Source organism: Homo sapiens, chromosome 2 (genome assembly GCF_000001405.40).
Source record: "Homo sapiens chromosome 2, GRCh38.p14 Primary Assembly".
Lineage (NCBI taxonomy): Eukaryota > Metazoa > Chordata > Mammalia > Primates > Hominidae > Homo > Homo sapiens.
This window is the reverse complement of record NC_000002.12, coordinates 176,292,255-176,310,569: the sequence shown is the minus strand read 5'-3', so window position 1 is coordinate 176,310,569 and position 18,315 is coordinate 176,292,255. Positions and strand designations below refer to the sequence as shown.

The 18,315-nt window shown below is 34.0% G+C and overlaps 1 protein-coding gene across 5 annotated transcripts in view; it reads right to left on the bottom strand.

The window, feature by feature from the left end:
* Positions 1-18,315, bottom strand: part of MTX2 (metaxin 2) — a 68,584-nt gene that overhangs the window by 27,456 nt on the left and 22,813 nt on the right. For all 5 annotated transcript variants that reach the window (NM_001006635.3, NM_006554.5, NM_001319098.2 and 2 more), the window contains 2 exons: positions 13,663-13,710; positions 12,675-12,721 (listed from right to left, as the gene is read on the bottom strand). In NM_001006635.3, coding sequence (NP_001006636.1) covers positions 12,675-12,721; positions 13,663-13,710 — 95 coding nt within the window. The remainder of the gene's footprint in view (positions 1-12,674; positions 12,722-13,662; positions 13,711-18,315) is intronic.

The following is an 18,315-nucleotide window of genomic DNA, read 5'->3' as shown; positions in this document are numbered from 1 at the left end:
AGGACTATGTGAAAAGACCAAATCTACATTGGATTGGTGTATCTGAAAGTGATGGGGAATGGAACCAACCTGGAAAACACTCTTCAGGATATTATCCACTAGAACTTTCCCAGCCTAGCAAGGTAGGCCAACATCCAAATTCAGGAAATACAGAGAACACCACAAAGATACTCCTCAACAAGAGCAACCCCAACACACATAATTGTCAGATTCAACTTGAAATGAAGGAAAAGATGTTAAGGGCAGCCAGAGAGAAAGGTCGAGTTACCCACAAAGGGAGGCCCATCAGACTAACAGATCTCTCGGCAGAAACCCTACAAACCAGAAGAGACTGGGGGCCAATATTCAACATTGTTAAAGAAAAGAATTTTCAACACAGAATTTCATATCCAGCCAAACTAAGCTTCATAAGTGAAGGAGAAATAAAATCCTTTACAGACAAGCAAATGCTGAGAGAGTTTGTCACCACCAGGCCTGCCTTACAAGAGCTCCTGAAGGAAGCACTAAACATGGAAAGAAAACAACCAGTACCAGCCACGGCAAAAACAGGCCAAACTGTAAAGACCATCGATGTTACGAAGAAACTGCATTAATTAACAGGCAAAATAACCAGCTAATATCATAATGACAGGATCAAATTCACATATAACAATATTAACCTTAAATGTAAATGGGCTAAATGCCCCAATTAAAAGACACAGACTGGCAAATTGGATAAAGAGTCAAGACCCATCAGTGTGCTGTATTCAGGAGATGCATCTCATGTGCAAAGAGGCACACAGGCTCAAAATAAAGGGATGGGGGAAGATCTACCAAGCAAATGGAAGGCAAAAAAAAAAAAAAAAAAAAGCAGAGGTTGCAATCCTGGTCTCTGATAAAACAGACTTTAAACCAACAAAGATCAAAAGAGACAAAGAAGGCCATTACATAATGGTAAAGGGATCAATTCAACAAGAAGAGCTAACTATCCTAAATATATATGCACCCAATACAAGAGCACCCAGATTCATAAAGCAAGTCCTTAGAGACCTACAAAGAGACTTAGACTCCCACACAATAATAATGGGATACTTTAACACCCCACTGTCAATATCAGACAGATCAACAAGACAGCAGGTTAACAAGGATATCCAGGACCTGAACTCAGCTCTGCAACAAGCAGACCTAATAGACACCTACAGAACTCTCCACCCCAATTCAACAGAATATACATTCTTCTCAGCAACACATTGCACTTATTCTAAAATTGACCACATAATTGGAAGTAAAGCACTCCTGAGCAAATGTAAAAGAACTGAAATCACAACAAACTGTCTCTCAGACCACAGTGCAATCAAATTAGAACTCAGGATTAAGAAACTCACTCAGAACTGCTCAGCTACATGGAAACTGAACAACCTGCTTCTGAATGACTACTGGGTAAATAACGAAATGAAGGCAGAAATAAAGATGTTCTTTGAAACCAATAAGAACAAAGACACAACATATCAGAATCTCTGGAACACATTTAAAGCAGTGTGTAGAGGGAAATTTATAGCACTAAATGCCGACAAGAGAAAGCAGGAAAGTTCTAAAATCGACACCCTAACATCACAATTAAAAGAACTAGAGAAGCAAGAGCAAACAAATTCAAAAGCTAGCAGAAGGCAAGAAATAACTAAGATCAGAGCGGATCTGAAAGAGATACAGACACAAAAAACCCTTCAAAATATCAATGAATCTAGGAACTGGTTTTTTAAAAAGATCAACAAAATTGATAGACCACTAGCAAGACTAATAAAGAAGAAAAGAGAGAAGAATCAAATAGACACAATAAAAAATGACAAAGGGGATATCACCAACGATCCCAAAGAAATACAACCTACCATCAGAGAATACTATAAACACCTCTATGCAAATAAACTAGAAAATCTAGAAGAAATGGATACATTCCTGGACACATACACCCTCCCAAGACTAAACCAGGAAGAAGCTGAATCTCTGAATAGACCAATAACAGGCTCTGAAATTGAGGCAATAATTAATAGCGTACCAACCAAAAAACGTCCAGGACCAGATGGATTCACAGACAAATTCTACCAGAGGTAAAAAGAGGAGCTGGGACCATTGCTTCTCAAACTATTCCAAACAGGGAATCCTCCCAAACTGATTTTATGAGGCCAACATCATCCTGATACCAGAGCCTGGCAGAGACACAACAAAAAAAGAGAATTTTAGACCAACATTACTGATGAACATCAATGCGAAAATCCTCAATAAAATATTAGCAAACCGAATCCAGCAACAGCACATCAAAAACCTTATCCATCATGATCAAGTCGGCTTCATCCTTGGGATGCAAGGCTGGTTCAACATACGCAAATCAATAAAGGTAATCCATCACATAAACAGAACCAATGAAAAAAACCACATGATTATCTCAACAGATGCAGAAAAGGCCTTTGACAAAATTCAACAGTGCTTCATGCTAAAAACTCTCAATAAACTAAGTATTGATGGAACATATCTCAAAATAGTAAGAGCTATTTATGACAAACCCACAGCCAATATCATACTGAATAGGCAAAAATGGGAAGCACTCCCTTTGAAAACCCGCACAAGACAAGGATGCCCTCTCTCACCACTCCTATTGAACACAGTGTTAGAAGTTCTGGCCAGGTCAATCAGGCAAGAGAAGGAAATGAAGGGTATTCAATTAAGAAATCAGGAAGTCAAACTGTTCCTGTTTGCAGATGATATGATTGTATATTTAGAAAACCCCATCGTCTCAGCCCAAAATCTCAAGCTGATAAGCAACTTCAGCAAAGTGTCAGGGTACAAAATCAATGTGCAAAAATCACAAGCATTCCTATACACCATTAACAGACAAACAGAGCCAAATCATGAGTGAACTCCCATTCACAATTGCTACACAGAGAATAAAATACCTAGGAATCCAACTTACAAGGGATGTGAAGGAACTCTTCAAGGAGAACTACAAACTACTGCTCAAGGAAATAAAAGAGGACACAAACAAATGGAAGAACATTCCATGCTCATGGATAGGAAAAATCAATATCGTGAAAATGGCCATACTGCCTGAAGTAATTTATAGATTCAATGCCATCCCCATCAAGCTACCAATGACTTTTTTCACAGAATTGGAAAAAACTAAAGTTCATATGGAACCAAAAAAGAGTCTGCATTGCCAAGACAATCCTAAGCAAAAAGAACAAAGCTGGAGGCATCACACTACCTGACTTCAAACTACACTACAAGGCTACAGTAACAAAAACAGCATGGTACTGGTACCAAAACACAGATATAGACCAATGGAACAGAACAGAGCCCTCAGAAATAACACCACACATCTACAACCATCTGATCTTTGACAAACCTGACAAAAACAAGAAATGTGAAAAGGATTCCCTATTTAATAAATGGTGCTGGGAAAACTGGCTAGCCATATGTAGAAAGCTGAAACTGGATCCCTTCCTTACACCTTATACAGAAATTAATTCAAGATGCATTAAAGACTTAAATGTTAGACCTAAAACCATAAAAAATCTAGAAGAAAACCTAGGCAATACCATTCAGGACACAGGCATGGGCAAGGACTTCATGTCTAAAACACCAAAAACAATGGCAACAAAAGCCAAAATAGGCAAATGGGATCTAATTAAACTAAAGAGCTTCTGCACAGCAAAAGAAACTACCATCAGAGTGAACAGGCAACCTACAGAATGGGAGAAAATTTTTGCAAACTACCCATCCGACAAAGGGCTAATATCCAGAATCTACAAAGAACTCAAAAAAATTTACAAGAAAAAAACAACCCCATCAAAAAGTGAGCAAAGGATATGAACAGACACTTCTCAAAAGAAGACATCTACGCAGCCAATAGACACGTGAAAAAAATACTCATCATCACTGGTCATCAAAGAAATGCAAATCAAAACCAAAATGAGATATCATCTCATGCCAGTTAGAATGGCAATCATTAAAAAGTCAGGAAAAAACAGATGCTGGAGAGGATGTGGAGAAATAGGAATGCTTTTACACTGTTGGTGGGAGTGTAAATTAGCTCAACCATTGTGGAAGACAGTGTGGCGATTCCTCAAGGATCTAGAACTAGAATTACCATTTGAGCCAGCAATCCCATTACTGGGTATATACCCAAAGGATTATGAATCATGCTACTATAAAGACAAATGCACACATGTTTATTGCAGCACTATTCACAATAGTAAAGACTTGGAACCAACCCAAATGTCCATCAGTGATAGACTGGATTAAGAAAATGTGGCACATATACACCATGGAATACTATGCAGCCATAAAAAAGGATGAATTCATGTCCTTTGTAGGGACATGGATGAAGCTGGAAACCATCACTCTCAGCAAACTATCACAAGGACAGAAAACCAAACACATGTTCTCACTCATAGATGGGAATTGAACAATGAGATCACTTCGACACAGGGCAGGGAACATCACACACTGGGGCCTGTCAGGGGGTGGGGGTGCTGGGGGAGGGATAGCATTAGGAGAAATACCTAATGTAAATGATGAGTAGATGGGTGCAGCAAACCAACATGGCACATGTGTACCTATGTATCAAACCTGCACATTGTGCACATGTACCCTAGAACTTAAAGTATAAAAAATAATAATAATGATCTATGTAGAAATCAGAAACCACAATTCAATAAGCATAAAAAGCTTTAAAGAGAGTGAATTTATTACCAAAAAATATGAAATGTTATTTGAGAGAACATTTGAAGACATATCACTTCATAGACTGACCTTCCTTAATGAAACTCTCACCTAGAAACTACTCCTGGAATATTTGAGTCAATTTTAGATACATCAACATCTGACAGCTATAGAAAAAAATCAGGTTATTTCTGAAAGCAACAAAAGAGACAATTAGAATAGAGAAAGATATAAGCTTTCCCTGTGATAATTACATATAAATAACGCACTGATAAAACCAATAAATGAACGGATAAAAGCCTGTCCTCCCAAGAATATAAGCTTCATTAGTACATACAGACCATGTCTATCTTGTTTACAACTTTCATAAAGTTGTAGGGTCAAAATTAAGCAAGAGTTATAAAATAGTCGAAAGTACAGAAAGAACAATTCTTGTAACCCAATAACCTAACACAACAGCAGTTACATAGTTAGCACTCAATGAACAGTTGGGGAGAAAACGAAAAAATATATATATTCTTTTTCTGAGCTCCTATAATGAATGCTTTAAAATTTTGTTACTTACAAGAAAATTCCCAACTGATAAAAATAATAACAAAAAAATTAAAATTCTTAGGATGAACTAGTAGATGGAAGGAACATATATTCTTTTTAATTAACTAATAGTAACTCAATATTGAAACACTTGCCAATGACCAGCACCAACTGTCTTCTTTCCTCTTCTTTATTCCAAAGACAAAAATGAACATTTGTCTTTCAAGTTAGATACACAGCACACTCTCTTTAGTTGCACCTAAGCAATAAAATCAGCATTGCTTGCCAATAAAAATATAAAAGTAATTCAAAATTTTAAAGAATTGCCTTTAATAAGTTTTTAAAGATTAGATGCTTTACACTGATTAATACCATGAGATTCAAGGCGTTATAAACACAGCTTCTAAATTTATGTAAGTCACATGAACAAAGTTATTCAAATTCTAGATAGGTAGCAATCCATTTTCAGTCCAACCAGGTAAAGCTATCCTTAGACAGCAGACCTCAGGTTTTTCTTCTTTAGAACAAAGCTTCTATTTATTTCCTAATTAAATTTGAAATATTTTATGTAAGAATTCACTAACGACTACTCGCAAGCATGCAATGCCATTTTCAGGACACAAAATAAAAATGATTGTGAATTTTAATTCATATCCTTTTTCAACCAGACACAAAGGAAAATTTGTGACAATTGAAGAATTATTTTCTACCTTACTGAAGAGGCACAATTTAAAATTAAAAACCATGAACAAATCTATCTATAAAATAATTCATTTTTATATCAAACAGCTGCAGACCCTGTAATTGAAATAAGGTATCTAAGGTTATAAATGAAAAGTGTTAGGTATCATTCTTGACGCAACAGATTAAGTTCCTAATCCAGTTACCATAACAGCCATATTTGTAGTTTAACATAAATTAAGACCTTAATTATATTTGTGACTATTTTAAACAAAATAACAAATTCCTTTGTACCTGTGAATGTAATTTATAGCAAAGCCAGGTTCATTTTCCAAACCAATCTATTTCACACTGCAGAAGTACTCTGGTATAACAGTATAATGTAATTCTTGTTGTAGAATGTTCAAAGAATAGATTCACTAAAAGCACAGAAGGGGTTTGAAGATAAATGAAGATGCTATTCATTCAAGGGTAATTTCATCTTAGAACTATATGAAAGATGTTTCACTCACACAGGGTAGTGTATGGCCTCAAATTTAAGTGTATTTTCAGCTCAAATATAATGCTGCTAGATTGATTATGTTGATATTGTATATCTAATAATGAAAAATTCTAGCCTTTTTCTGTTTTAAAAAAAGGCTGTTGTTTTTCCATCTTACTACTGTATCTTTATGGTTCTGTTTAATAGCAACAAACTATAAAATCCTGCTTGCTATTTACTTTTTAAACAAAAAAGTACACAGCTGATATTCTAAGTTGCAATCTCTCAGAACTACAGGAGTGTGAATTTTCGTTAAGTTAAATACGTATTTATATCAGTAAACCATTACCCTTTAAAAACATTTTACATTATTTCACTAATTACTAAAAACAACAACTCCTATAGCCACCTAATTCTATTTTGAATATACTTCATTTCCACAAATTCTACACTGCCTAATTTTAATGTTGTATATACACCATGCCATTTAAGTGTTGAGAAACTAATATTGAGATTTGTTTTTTAATCTGCTAAATTCTATTTGCAATTTAAGTTCACAATTATCTTGATAAAGATCACATTTTATATACTGAAATAATCCAAGGTCTTATGAGCATAAATCAGCAAAATGCTTTAACATTTCTGACACACAAACTATAATAATGTAAGACAATCAGTCTGAAGAATTTAAACTCAGTGATATCAAAGAAACATCTGCAGCCTCCATTTTGCTTGTCTGGAATACTGAAAAGGACTTTACAAGTCTCTATATCTCATAAATGTTCACTAAATTCTATTTATCCCTTAGCTTTCCTTTCCTTCATCTAATCCTGAAAGTGAATTCAGAAGCCTCATCTGACAGAGGATGATCAAATTGAGAGGAATGTACAAATTTTAAAAACCTAAAACTTTATACTTTATGAGGCTTTAATAAAGTTTTGTCAATTTTTAAATCTTTTTCATAAAATATTATATTATTTATTAAAATATGTCCACTCATGTCATCCTACTTCTATTTACATCAGGTTTAAACTGATCCTTTAAAATGGCATAAAACCCTGAACAACTCATTTAAAACAAAATGTATCCAATCAAACTGAAAATTCAAAATCATTTCCTCTAAAATTCTGCAGGTAGCTGTCTACTATGGCCATTTAAATGACAAGACAAATTTACAGCAGCTGTATTTTCACACTCAAAGTTTTGTCTCTAAGGCAGTAATCAACCTGCAGCCTCAAAAGAAAGACAGATATTCCTCTCTCCTGCCCTTTCCCAAACACTACATTTGGATATTAGCATTAGCCAATAATTAATACATCCTTCTAGAAAGCATCATTTGCTAAAAGGAAAATGCAAGGGTCAGCTAAGTATTTATCATCAAATCTGAAATGTGAGTGTTCATGGCCCAGCATTAATGGGGCCTATAAAAATGCTGACTTTTGGTCAGGTGCAGTGGCTCACACCTGTAAACCCAGCACTTTGGGAGGCTGAGATGGGTGGATCATTTGAGGTCAGGAGTTCAAGATCACCCTGGCCAACATGGTGAAACCCCGTCTCTATTAAAAATACAAAAAAATAGCTGGGCTTGGTGGCACACACCTGTAATCCCAGCTACTCAGAAGGCTGAGGTGGGAGAATCACTTGAACCTGGGAAATGGAGGTTGCAGTGAGCCAAGATCACGCCACTGCACTCCAGCCTGGGCGACAGAGCTAGACTCCATCTCAAAAAAACAAAACAAAACAAAATGCTGACTTTTAAATTATATACTACATTCAACAGAAATAAAATAGTTTTTTTCTGTTGTCTTCCCTTTCATTTTTAGAGAAAAGTATTTATTAACAAAGAGTAAGAAAAAGTAAAAATATTAAATGGAACAAGAACATTCTCCTTCACTTTACCTTAAATGCTATTCTTACTTGAAGTAAAAAGGACAAAGTAAGATTACTTGTTCATGCAATATTCTAATAATGATCATCAGTTTGAGACACTCTAAAAAACAAATTCAAATTTTTATAATATCTAGATTAAGCCATACAAAAAAAAAAAAAAAACACCAGCTTTTTAAAACTGGCTTCACATACATGAAGCGAAATTCTTTCTAAAACTTACTAGAAAGTCTCTGTTGTGCAACGGCTAGCACATTGGACTTCTAAAACTTATTAGAAAGTAACATTTTATTATATAAAGACACTCACAAAATATGTACATAAATCTTTGAAGTCAAAATAGGCACTAATTCTGTATTTGACATCTTACATTCCTATTCCTTTCACTTTTTTCAAAAGAATTTCCCATTTATTACCTAACTTGAGCTTCATAATATTATAGAGGTAAGACTATCTTTATCCCATTTCAAAGATACAAAAGCTAAGACATGTTCTTTTACTCCTTAATGTAAACTATTAATCATAAGATATAATTTACTAAGAAATGTCAGAAGTAATTTGTGATTAAATGATCACTTATTGTTAGGTGAAACTTCAATATCTGTTATCACTGGACTAGACCAATATGCAGCAAAGTGTTATGAGTGTGGACTGTCGATCCAGACTTCCTGGGTCTGCATTCCAGCTGTGCCACATACTATTTATGTAACTTTGAGCTCACTGTTTAACCTCTCTGCCTTACCTTCCTAATCTGTAGGAAAATAGGAATAATAATAGTACCTACCTCATAGGGTAGCTGTGTGAAAGGATTATTTATGATACCTACCTTATACAGCACTTACCTCATACAGTTGTTATAAGGATTAAATGGGTTAATATGAATTAAGAGCTCAGCACAGTGACAAGCACAGGTGGCACTCAACCAATGTCGTTGTTGTTTTCTGTTTATCTCCACAATTTGTGGGTTCTATGAAATGTGGGCGAAGCATCTTTGAGCTTCAGTTTCCACATCTTTAAAATGAGGATAATAATAGTACTGTGCACTAGGGTCATGGGAAGGATTGAACGCAATGCTCCACATAAAAGCTTTCAATAGAGTGTCTTATACAATAAAAGTATTCAATAAATACTGTTTTAAAATATATTATTCAGTATCAATAAAATTTTGTTTGCATTAAAGCATTCAATATTAATTTTTAGATAAAGAATGATACAAAAGTTAATGTTCACACAAACACAAACATGTCCAAAAAAGATTCTTACACATAACATTTGTTTTCAATTACTCTAGTGTTTTCAGGTACTATGAAGGCTGCAAGCTTCCATTCCTCTTACTAACATTGAATACGTGTATTTCTTTCAAAGAATTAGGAGAGAAAGAAGTAATAAACAGCATTCATTGCATATTTACAATATGCCAGGTACTCTTCTAAGTGCTTTACATATGTTAACATATTCAATCCTCACATTCAATATGTTAACATATTCAATCCTATCCTACCCAACAGGATAGCTTCTATTATATTTCTATTTTACATTTGAGCAAACTTGAAACAAAGAGCTCTATTTAGGGTTTGCTGTTTTTTGAAACAGATACCAATTGGAATCTTCTATAAAAGACAGCATATACTCAATCAATAGACATAAACTTCTTAAATAAAACAATTTGGCCAAAACCTTTGAGAGCATATATGTATTTGCTCATATTGTATTCTAAACCTGCAGTGTCTAACACAAAAGCCACTAGCTACACGAGACTAGTGGGCATTTGAAATCTGGCTAGCATAAATTGAGAGGTACTGTAAGTGTAAAATACACATCAGATTTTGAACTTAATATAAAAAGTCCCATTAATAAATTATGTATTGGTTACATACTAAAATAATATTTGGATATACTGGGTAAAATAATGCATATTATTAAAATACATTTTGCCAATTTCTTTTTACTTTTGTTAAATGAGGCTTCTAGAAAATTTCAAATCACAAATGTGGCCAACATTGTGTATTTATTAGATGGCTGGTTTGGATTTGGGGGTAACAGAGAATAGTAACAGAGAATTATTATCAAAGTTACTTTTTCCAGTCAGCATAAGCTTAAGTCCTTCAAAGCACAAGTACAGAATGGAAGATATCTCTCTCTCTCTCTCTGTCTCTCTAGTGTGTGCATGTGTGTATAATACTGCATATATACACATTCGGCTCAAGGGACCAGAGAAACATGCTATACTAATACTTCAGTATACTCAACATACAAGAGTGAAGGAAAGCAAATCTAAGGGGAAATAGCTACAGGAAAAAAAAATTATTTTTAAACTGAAATCATAAAAGTTCTTAGAGTTCAAAAAGACCCAATCACTTAGTTTTGGGGGTATAATAAACACCAAGTGTATGTGTTAAGTAAAATTTAAATTTCCTAATGGCCTAACTGGCAGACTATTAAAATATCTGATGTTTGATATCTGGTATCTTCTAGAAAATAATCCAGTTTGTGGATACCTGTCACATTGTTTTGATCAATTTTATACATCAAATGTAGGCCTTTAACTGATTCTTCTAAACAAATGCTGGCCCACTATATAGAAGAAAATTACTCCATAAAGTTTATATCAGATAACTGGAAAAGTCACATTTATAGTCATGGCTACTATCAGCTGTCAAGCCAAAGAATATTGAAGAAAACCAAGAAATTTTAATATATGCTGCGTAATTTATCATCGAAGTGACATATGTAGGATAAAAACATTGAAATGGTTAAGGAAAATTCTACATTGTAAAAGGTCCTTTTTTCTGGTTTTATTTTTAATTGCAACTATGATTTGAGAAAGCAAATTAATAGAAATCATAAAAATAGAATTAACAAATAAAATACACACTAAGATTTATTTTTTCCCCCCTTCTCCGGGTTATTTAAAACGTTAGTTTTTTTAAATGGTAATATACTGGTATTTTGGTTTGTACTGAAAACTGGCTAACTCACCTATTCCAGGGTTTGTCAACCTTGACAAATCTATTTACATTTGGGGCTGGATAATTCTTTGTTGTGCAGGGACCACTCTGTATGTTTTAGGATTTTTAGCAGCATCTCTGGCATCTACCCAATGGATGAGAATAGCACTCAACCCTTCAACCGTTTTGACGAGCAAAAACACTTAAATATTGTCAAATGTCACAGGGTGGTGGTAGGGGGAGTACTAAAGAGCTGCCCAGTTGGAAACCACTGTCTATTCCTACCCAAAATACCTTTCTATTTGATGAAAATTACTTCAGCACTTCCTAAACTAGTATTATGTAGTTTTAGGGGCTCTTCCTAGGGGATCCCGATAGCTTCAGCAGGGAAATCAGTAAACCTACTGAAACCACATGCAGAATAGCCTGGCTATATTTTCTGTTAAAATGTTCTATAGCTTTTGCCAGATCCTGAAAGGGTTATCCCCAAAATAGCAATTTTAAAAGGGTTAAGAATCAGTGCTTCAACTAAAATATTCACAGTGCCTTCAAACTGTCTTTCCAAAGATATAAAGATTGAAAATATTATTTTATACACAGCAAATCATTTACTTTTACATTGGTTATCAAGGCATGACTACTTTCACCACACTTATAAACCATTCATACAACAGACATTTAGTGGATACAGTCTACATGCTCAGTCCTATGTTAAACTACACAAGCTAAGTAAATGGCAGCTAAATATGCAAAATGTTTGGATAACTATAATTCCATAACCTACATCATAAACATTGTTTTTTAAGCAAACCATCCCCAAGTATCCTATTCTTCCTATAATGCAGCTTAAAGTTTACAGGGGCACTAATTTTTTTTGGATTATACAAATGTTATATACAACTTGAAGAGCTGTTACATTTCATAAATGGTTTGGGGATAATAAACACTCATGTAATCAATAAATATATGAGGAGTGGCTAGAGAACCAGAACATTGCTACAGGATTACCAAACAGATTAAAAGCTAGAGGCCAATGAGTGCAATGAGCAAAACAATGCTTAAAAATATGTGATAAATAAATCTTAACGAATTAGAAAATAATTGTGAGTCCACAAATGAACATATCACCCCAAATAATCAACACCATCATATCCAGCCAAAAGCAAAACAACTGCTAAGACACAGAATGTGCCTACCACATAAAAGTGATTTCTAAAAAAAAAAAAAATTTATGTTTATTTTATATACTGACAATTAACTGAATAATATTACATAATAAAATTATTCTTCACAAAGAAGCAATGTTATATAGATAATGGTAAATCACACAGAAAAAAATCTAAACATATAGTATCAGACATTTTGGAAGGGGAAAAATATAACTGCAAGTCAAAATGATGCAAACCACCTAGGGGGTGAAAAAGATATTACATTATTTACATATTTACCTGCACTGCAAGAGAAGCTGCATTGTCAGAAAGTAAAATTTGCTCCCCTGTGGAAATACAATGAAGCATAAATGTTAACCAAGTAGAATATAGTATTTTTATTTTTAAAAAGTATTTCTATTTATTCAAAGGTATCGCCTACCACTAAATTCTAAAGTTTTATATCAATGTTAATATATAATTATAATTTTGATTAAATTATCACAAATAATGATAAACTAGGACAGTTTCCTCTAAAACTATTTGATCACTTATTTTATCAGCAATGTAATTAAAATTGTTTACTTAAAATCCAATTCATTTTTCAAGTTTTCAAGAAATGTTCCTCTTCATTAAAATTAAGTAAAATCTGGTGAAACCTTTCTAGTTAAAAGTAAAAGCATTCACAATAATATAAAACCAGCTTGCAGTTAATATTGCACAGTGTGTCTAGGTCCGTCACACAAAAGAAAGATGACAAGTTCGTGGCAATAAAAATTCCATGCTTAGAAGACTAGGGCTGCTGCCTATTAGTCTTCATTACTTTGCAGTCTTCTGACAACTGTAGCAGGCTGCTAAGCCCCAAATGGGGTCCATAATGTGATCTGATGATATATGAAGAGCTGCTAAAGGGAGCCTGAACCATCCTAGCCTATACATTTTAACAGTTCCTTTTTACTGAGAGCCCACTTTACCACAGGACTTCAAAAATCTGCTGTCTCAGCTATTGGTGCAGTAAATCTGCCAACTGCTCCTGCAACCACATCATTTTACACCGCCTACAGCAGCCAATATAATGAGTCAATAATAAACTAAGGACCTTATAGGCCATGAATAGTTGGTTTACACTGGCAGATACAAGTTCAGGTAAAACCTCCTAGACAAATTATACAAGGGAATCCCTTCTTTACATTTTATATTCTCTTTGCAGTAAATTGTATTACTGAGGATTTTTCCGTAATAAATATAGTTTGATACAAAGCCATTTTTAATTGTGAACAAGACTTACCTTTCAATTGCTGATATAATGTAGCATTTTCAGGCCAAGGTTCTGCAGCTATGGAAACAAGGCAGTGATAATTAGGCACATAAAGCAAAAACATATCAATAACAAACCAAATTAATAAGCATGTACATTTGCCTACAGCATTTAAAGTCATTTGCTAAGGTTGACTTATACATGGCAACTAATCACACTATCTTAGATTCTATGGTAACCTGTATAAGTAGGTTAGATAACTTGTTTTAAAAGCATGTTTGGTTTATTGTTTGGTGATTGTTTTTTAATGGGGAAGAGGGGAAGATACCTTGCCCAATCCAAAATGAGAATAAAAAAAACAAAATAGCTCATATGCTACAATTCCTTTAGCTTCTTTCAAACACAGACATATCCTAAATATTACTCATATGTATAAAAAGATACTGATGTTTAATTCACTACAAAAAATTGTAGTGAAATAATATTTTTAATATTTTACGGCAAACTTTTAACAAAGTAAAATTTCAAGCAGACATTGTAAGAAAGAATCAAATATATCTGTATCAAGCTGTCCATCTTTCCCCACAATCTGGCAGTATTTAAAAATACAGAGGAATCCTGTTGTATTCCAGAAGATTTCATTGCCTTGACCCTACCAACACCACCCCACAAACACAATTAGAGCAAAGTTGCATGATGAAGCATTACATACCTACAATGTGAAATAATGCCAGTAAAGATAATTTTAGGCCTGAAATGAAACTTGACTTGACCCTTAATCTCTCATCCAGAGAAGACTGCAGCTACAAAGAGAATATTACCAACCTCCCAGTGTTTGGGAAAAGTACTAGATTTGAATTTTGTCTAATCAACTGCACTTAAGAAGCAATGGCTCCACTGACAGAATATATAGGATATCAGGATATCACTTGCTGGATTCTCCTTTGTAAAAGCCATAAAACATCAGAATCACCCATTTTAATAACATAACTACATTTGCTCTCAGCAACTAAATATATGAGATTTGATAATAATTGATATATTTCTAATTGTGTTTATACTACTTTAGTCTCTGTGACATAGCAACAAATAACTTTAATATATAATTCTGGCTGATTTTTTAAAAGAAATTTATACATGTGAAGCATTTTTTTCTTAAGACTGATCATTTAAAATGTTCTAAAGCAATCCCTGGAATAGGAAAAAGGAACTCCTTAATTTGCTTTTACTTATGCTTTAGAATAAAAAGAAAAACACAGTATTATTACAATAAATAACAAATGTGACTTTTAGGTTTAGTTTGGTTTGGGCTACACAAAATTAAACTTGTATTTAGAGATAATGCCATGAAAACATCAAGTAAATAATGAACTACACATAGTTTTGTATGCTGTCACACACAATACTACACATATACGTAAGGGACTGAATTTCAACGCACATACCAACACAGCAATGAAACAAAATATTTTGCTGTCAACTTTTAACAAAGTAAAATTTCAATAAGAACCCAATTAACTTGTATAACAGTTTTTTAAATAAAAGGAAACAAAAACAAGCTGACATTAGCCAATTACTCAAAAAATAACCTTTTAGGATAAATTGTATGGTCAGCACACCTATATTGCTTACATCTATACTAAAAACAATACAATGAGATTCGTTATAAAATTCTAAATCATCAAAGATTCAATTATATGCATTACATTAATCTTACTAGCAATAAAGCATAGTAATAAAATTCACAAAATTTCAAAGAATAAATATTGAAATCAAGTTCCTTGGAGGCACAGATGTGTCATATGCATCTGTGTACCCCACACTGTACTACGATTTGCATACAGTTGATGTTAATTGTCTGTAGAAAGAAAGAAGATATTTGATTAAACCTACCATTTAATTCCCTAAACATGCTGGCTAATTAAAGTTTTACTCAATATTATCATCTATGTTAAGGTAACAGGATATTCTAATTTAAAATTGTGGTAATTTTAACTCTTAGTTAGCTATTTTGTGCACATACTAGGCATGCATTACAAATTTTTAAAACAATTAAGTATTAGGTTGGTGCAAAAGTATTGCCGTTTTTCCCCAAAAACTGTATTAAACCTGTATTACTGTGTTAAAATTGGTGATTCTGATGTTTTCTGGCTTTTACAAAGAAGAATCCAACAAACGATATGCCAAAAACTGCAATTATTTTTGCACCAACCTTTACATACACTAGCATTAAACATATGCTGAATATGATTTAAGTGTTCTCTGATAAATCAGAAGCTACTTCACTACTCTGTAATGTAACAGAGTTCTTATATGAACAGCAATTTATGTGGTCAGTAATTTCAGTTAAAAGTTAATTCATCAGCTGGGTGCCATGGCTCACGCCTGTAATCCCAAAACTTTGGGAGGCCGAGGCGGGTGGATCAAAAGCTCAGGAGTTCAAGACCAGCCTGGCCAAGATGGCCATCTCCACTAAAAATACAAAAATTAGCCGGGCGTGGTGGCTGGCGCCTGTAATCCCAGCTACTCAGGAGGCTGAGGCAGAGAATTGCTTGAACCCAGGAGGCAGAGGTTGCTGTGAGCCAAGATCACGCCACTGCAGTCCAGCCTGGGTGACAGAGGGAGACTCTGTCTTAGGAAAAAAAAAAAAAAAAAAAAAGTTAATTCATCATCACTCCCATGGATTCTCCAGATCTCATCCAAAAGACAAATATGAAAGTAATAGAAAGTTTGCAACATATTACTTCACTGCAAATAAGACTAAAGAAGCTTCCTACAAATACCAAAAGCTCTCTTATTAAGAATCTAAAGCTGGAAATAGGTGAAAAGGGTGAATATTTCACTCAATCTAAGACATAAACTCTGTTTCAACTCAGAAATCATTATTGAAAATAAATTCTCAGAAAGTAACTCTACCAAAACATCCAGTGTTTTCATCACAAATAGAACCTATGATTTAAAAAGAGAAGGCAAGTAGACTGATATAAACCCATATAGCCAGCAGCTAGGAATTGCAGTTTATCATGCAGTAGACAAGAAATGGTAGAGTATACAAAGAATGAACAGCTGCCTATCTTACCTATGAGCAGCTCAGAGAATATAAATATCACTGACTTAAGTGCATCACCTACATGATTCTGTTAGGCTGTTGGCACTGTTGTAAAGAAATACCTGAGACTGGGTAATTTATACAGAAAAGAAGTTTATTTTGGCTCATGGTTCTGCAGACTGTACAAGAAACACGGTGCCAGCATCTGCTTCTGGTGAGAGCTGCAGGAAGCTTACAATCATGGCAGAAGGCAAAGGGGGGAGCAGGTGTCACACACAGCAAGAGCAGGAGCAAGAGAAGGGGGGGAGATGCCGCTCTCTTTTAAACAACCAGATCTCATGTGAACACAGAGAGAGAACTCACTATCAAGGATAGCACTGAGCCATTCATGAGGGATCCACCCCCATGACCCAAACACCTCCACCAGGACCCACCTCCAACAACGGGGATTACATTTCAACAGGAGATTTGCAGGGAACAAACATCCAAACTGTATCAGTGACAGAGCTCATATAATTACACAGTAACTGGTATATTTCTAATTGTGTTTATACTACTTTAGTCTCTGTGACATAGCAACAAATAACTTTAATATGTAATTCTGGCTGATTTTTTAAAAGAAATTTATACATGTGAAGCATTTTTTTCTTAAGACTGATCATTTAAAATGTTCTAAAGCAATCCCTGGAGTGGGAAAAAGAACTCCTTAATTTGCTTTTACTTATGCTTTAGAATACTTATGCTTTAGAATAAAAAGAAAAACACAGTATTATTACAATAAATAACAAATGTGACTTTTAGGTTTATTTTGGTTTGGGCTACACAAAATTAAACTCGTATTTAGAGATAATGCCATGAAAACATCAAGTAAATAATGAACTACACATAGTTTTGTATGCTGTTACACACAATATTACACATATACGTAAGGGCTACTGAATTTCAACACACATACCAACACAGCAATGAAACAAAATTTATTTTGCTGTCAACTTTTAACAAAGTAAAATTTCAATAAGAACCCAATTAACTTGTATAACAGTTTTTTAAATAAAAGGAAACAAAAACAAGCTGACATCAGCAAATTACTGAAAAAATAACCTTTTAGGATAAATTGTATGTAAATTACATGTAAACCATGACATGAAAGAAAAAAAATCTCTAGTTTGTTATTCCCTAGGAATGCCAAAAGTGAAAATCCTAAACTGGGCAATGGATCTACAAATCAATCACGCAGGTATCATTCTAGGAAATGAGCTCTATAACTGTCTTCATATGTAAATCTATGAATCATGAAAATTATTATCCACATCTAACAGAAAGAAAGCTTATTTGTTGGTTTGGGAATACCTATTATGTAAAAGACAAAAAAAGACAACTTCTTCCCTACACTTCTCTTTCCCAAGGTCAAAGTCAGTAATCACCCCTTGCTCCTGAGCATGTGTAAAAGAGGAGATTAAGGATTTAAAATCATGATGCTGACAATATACATTTTAAAAATCTGTGGCATTTTAAAAGGAAAGTCATTTTAAAACAACAATAAAACATTTTTATATTTTACTAGTTTTTCTTCAGTTGACCTGAAATGTTTTAGACCACAAACTACTTCAATAGTAAATAAAATGTCATGACTC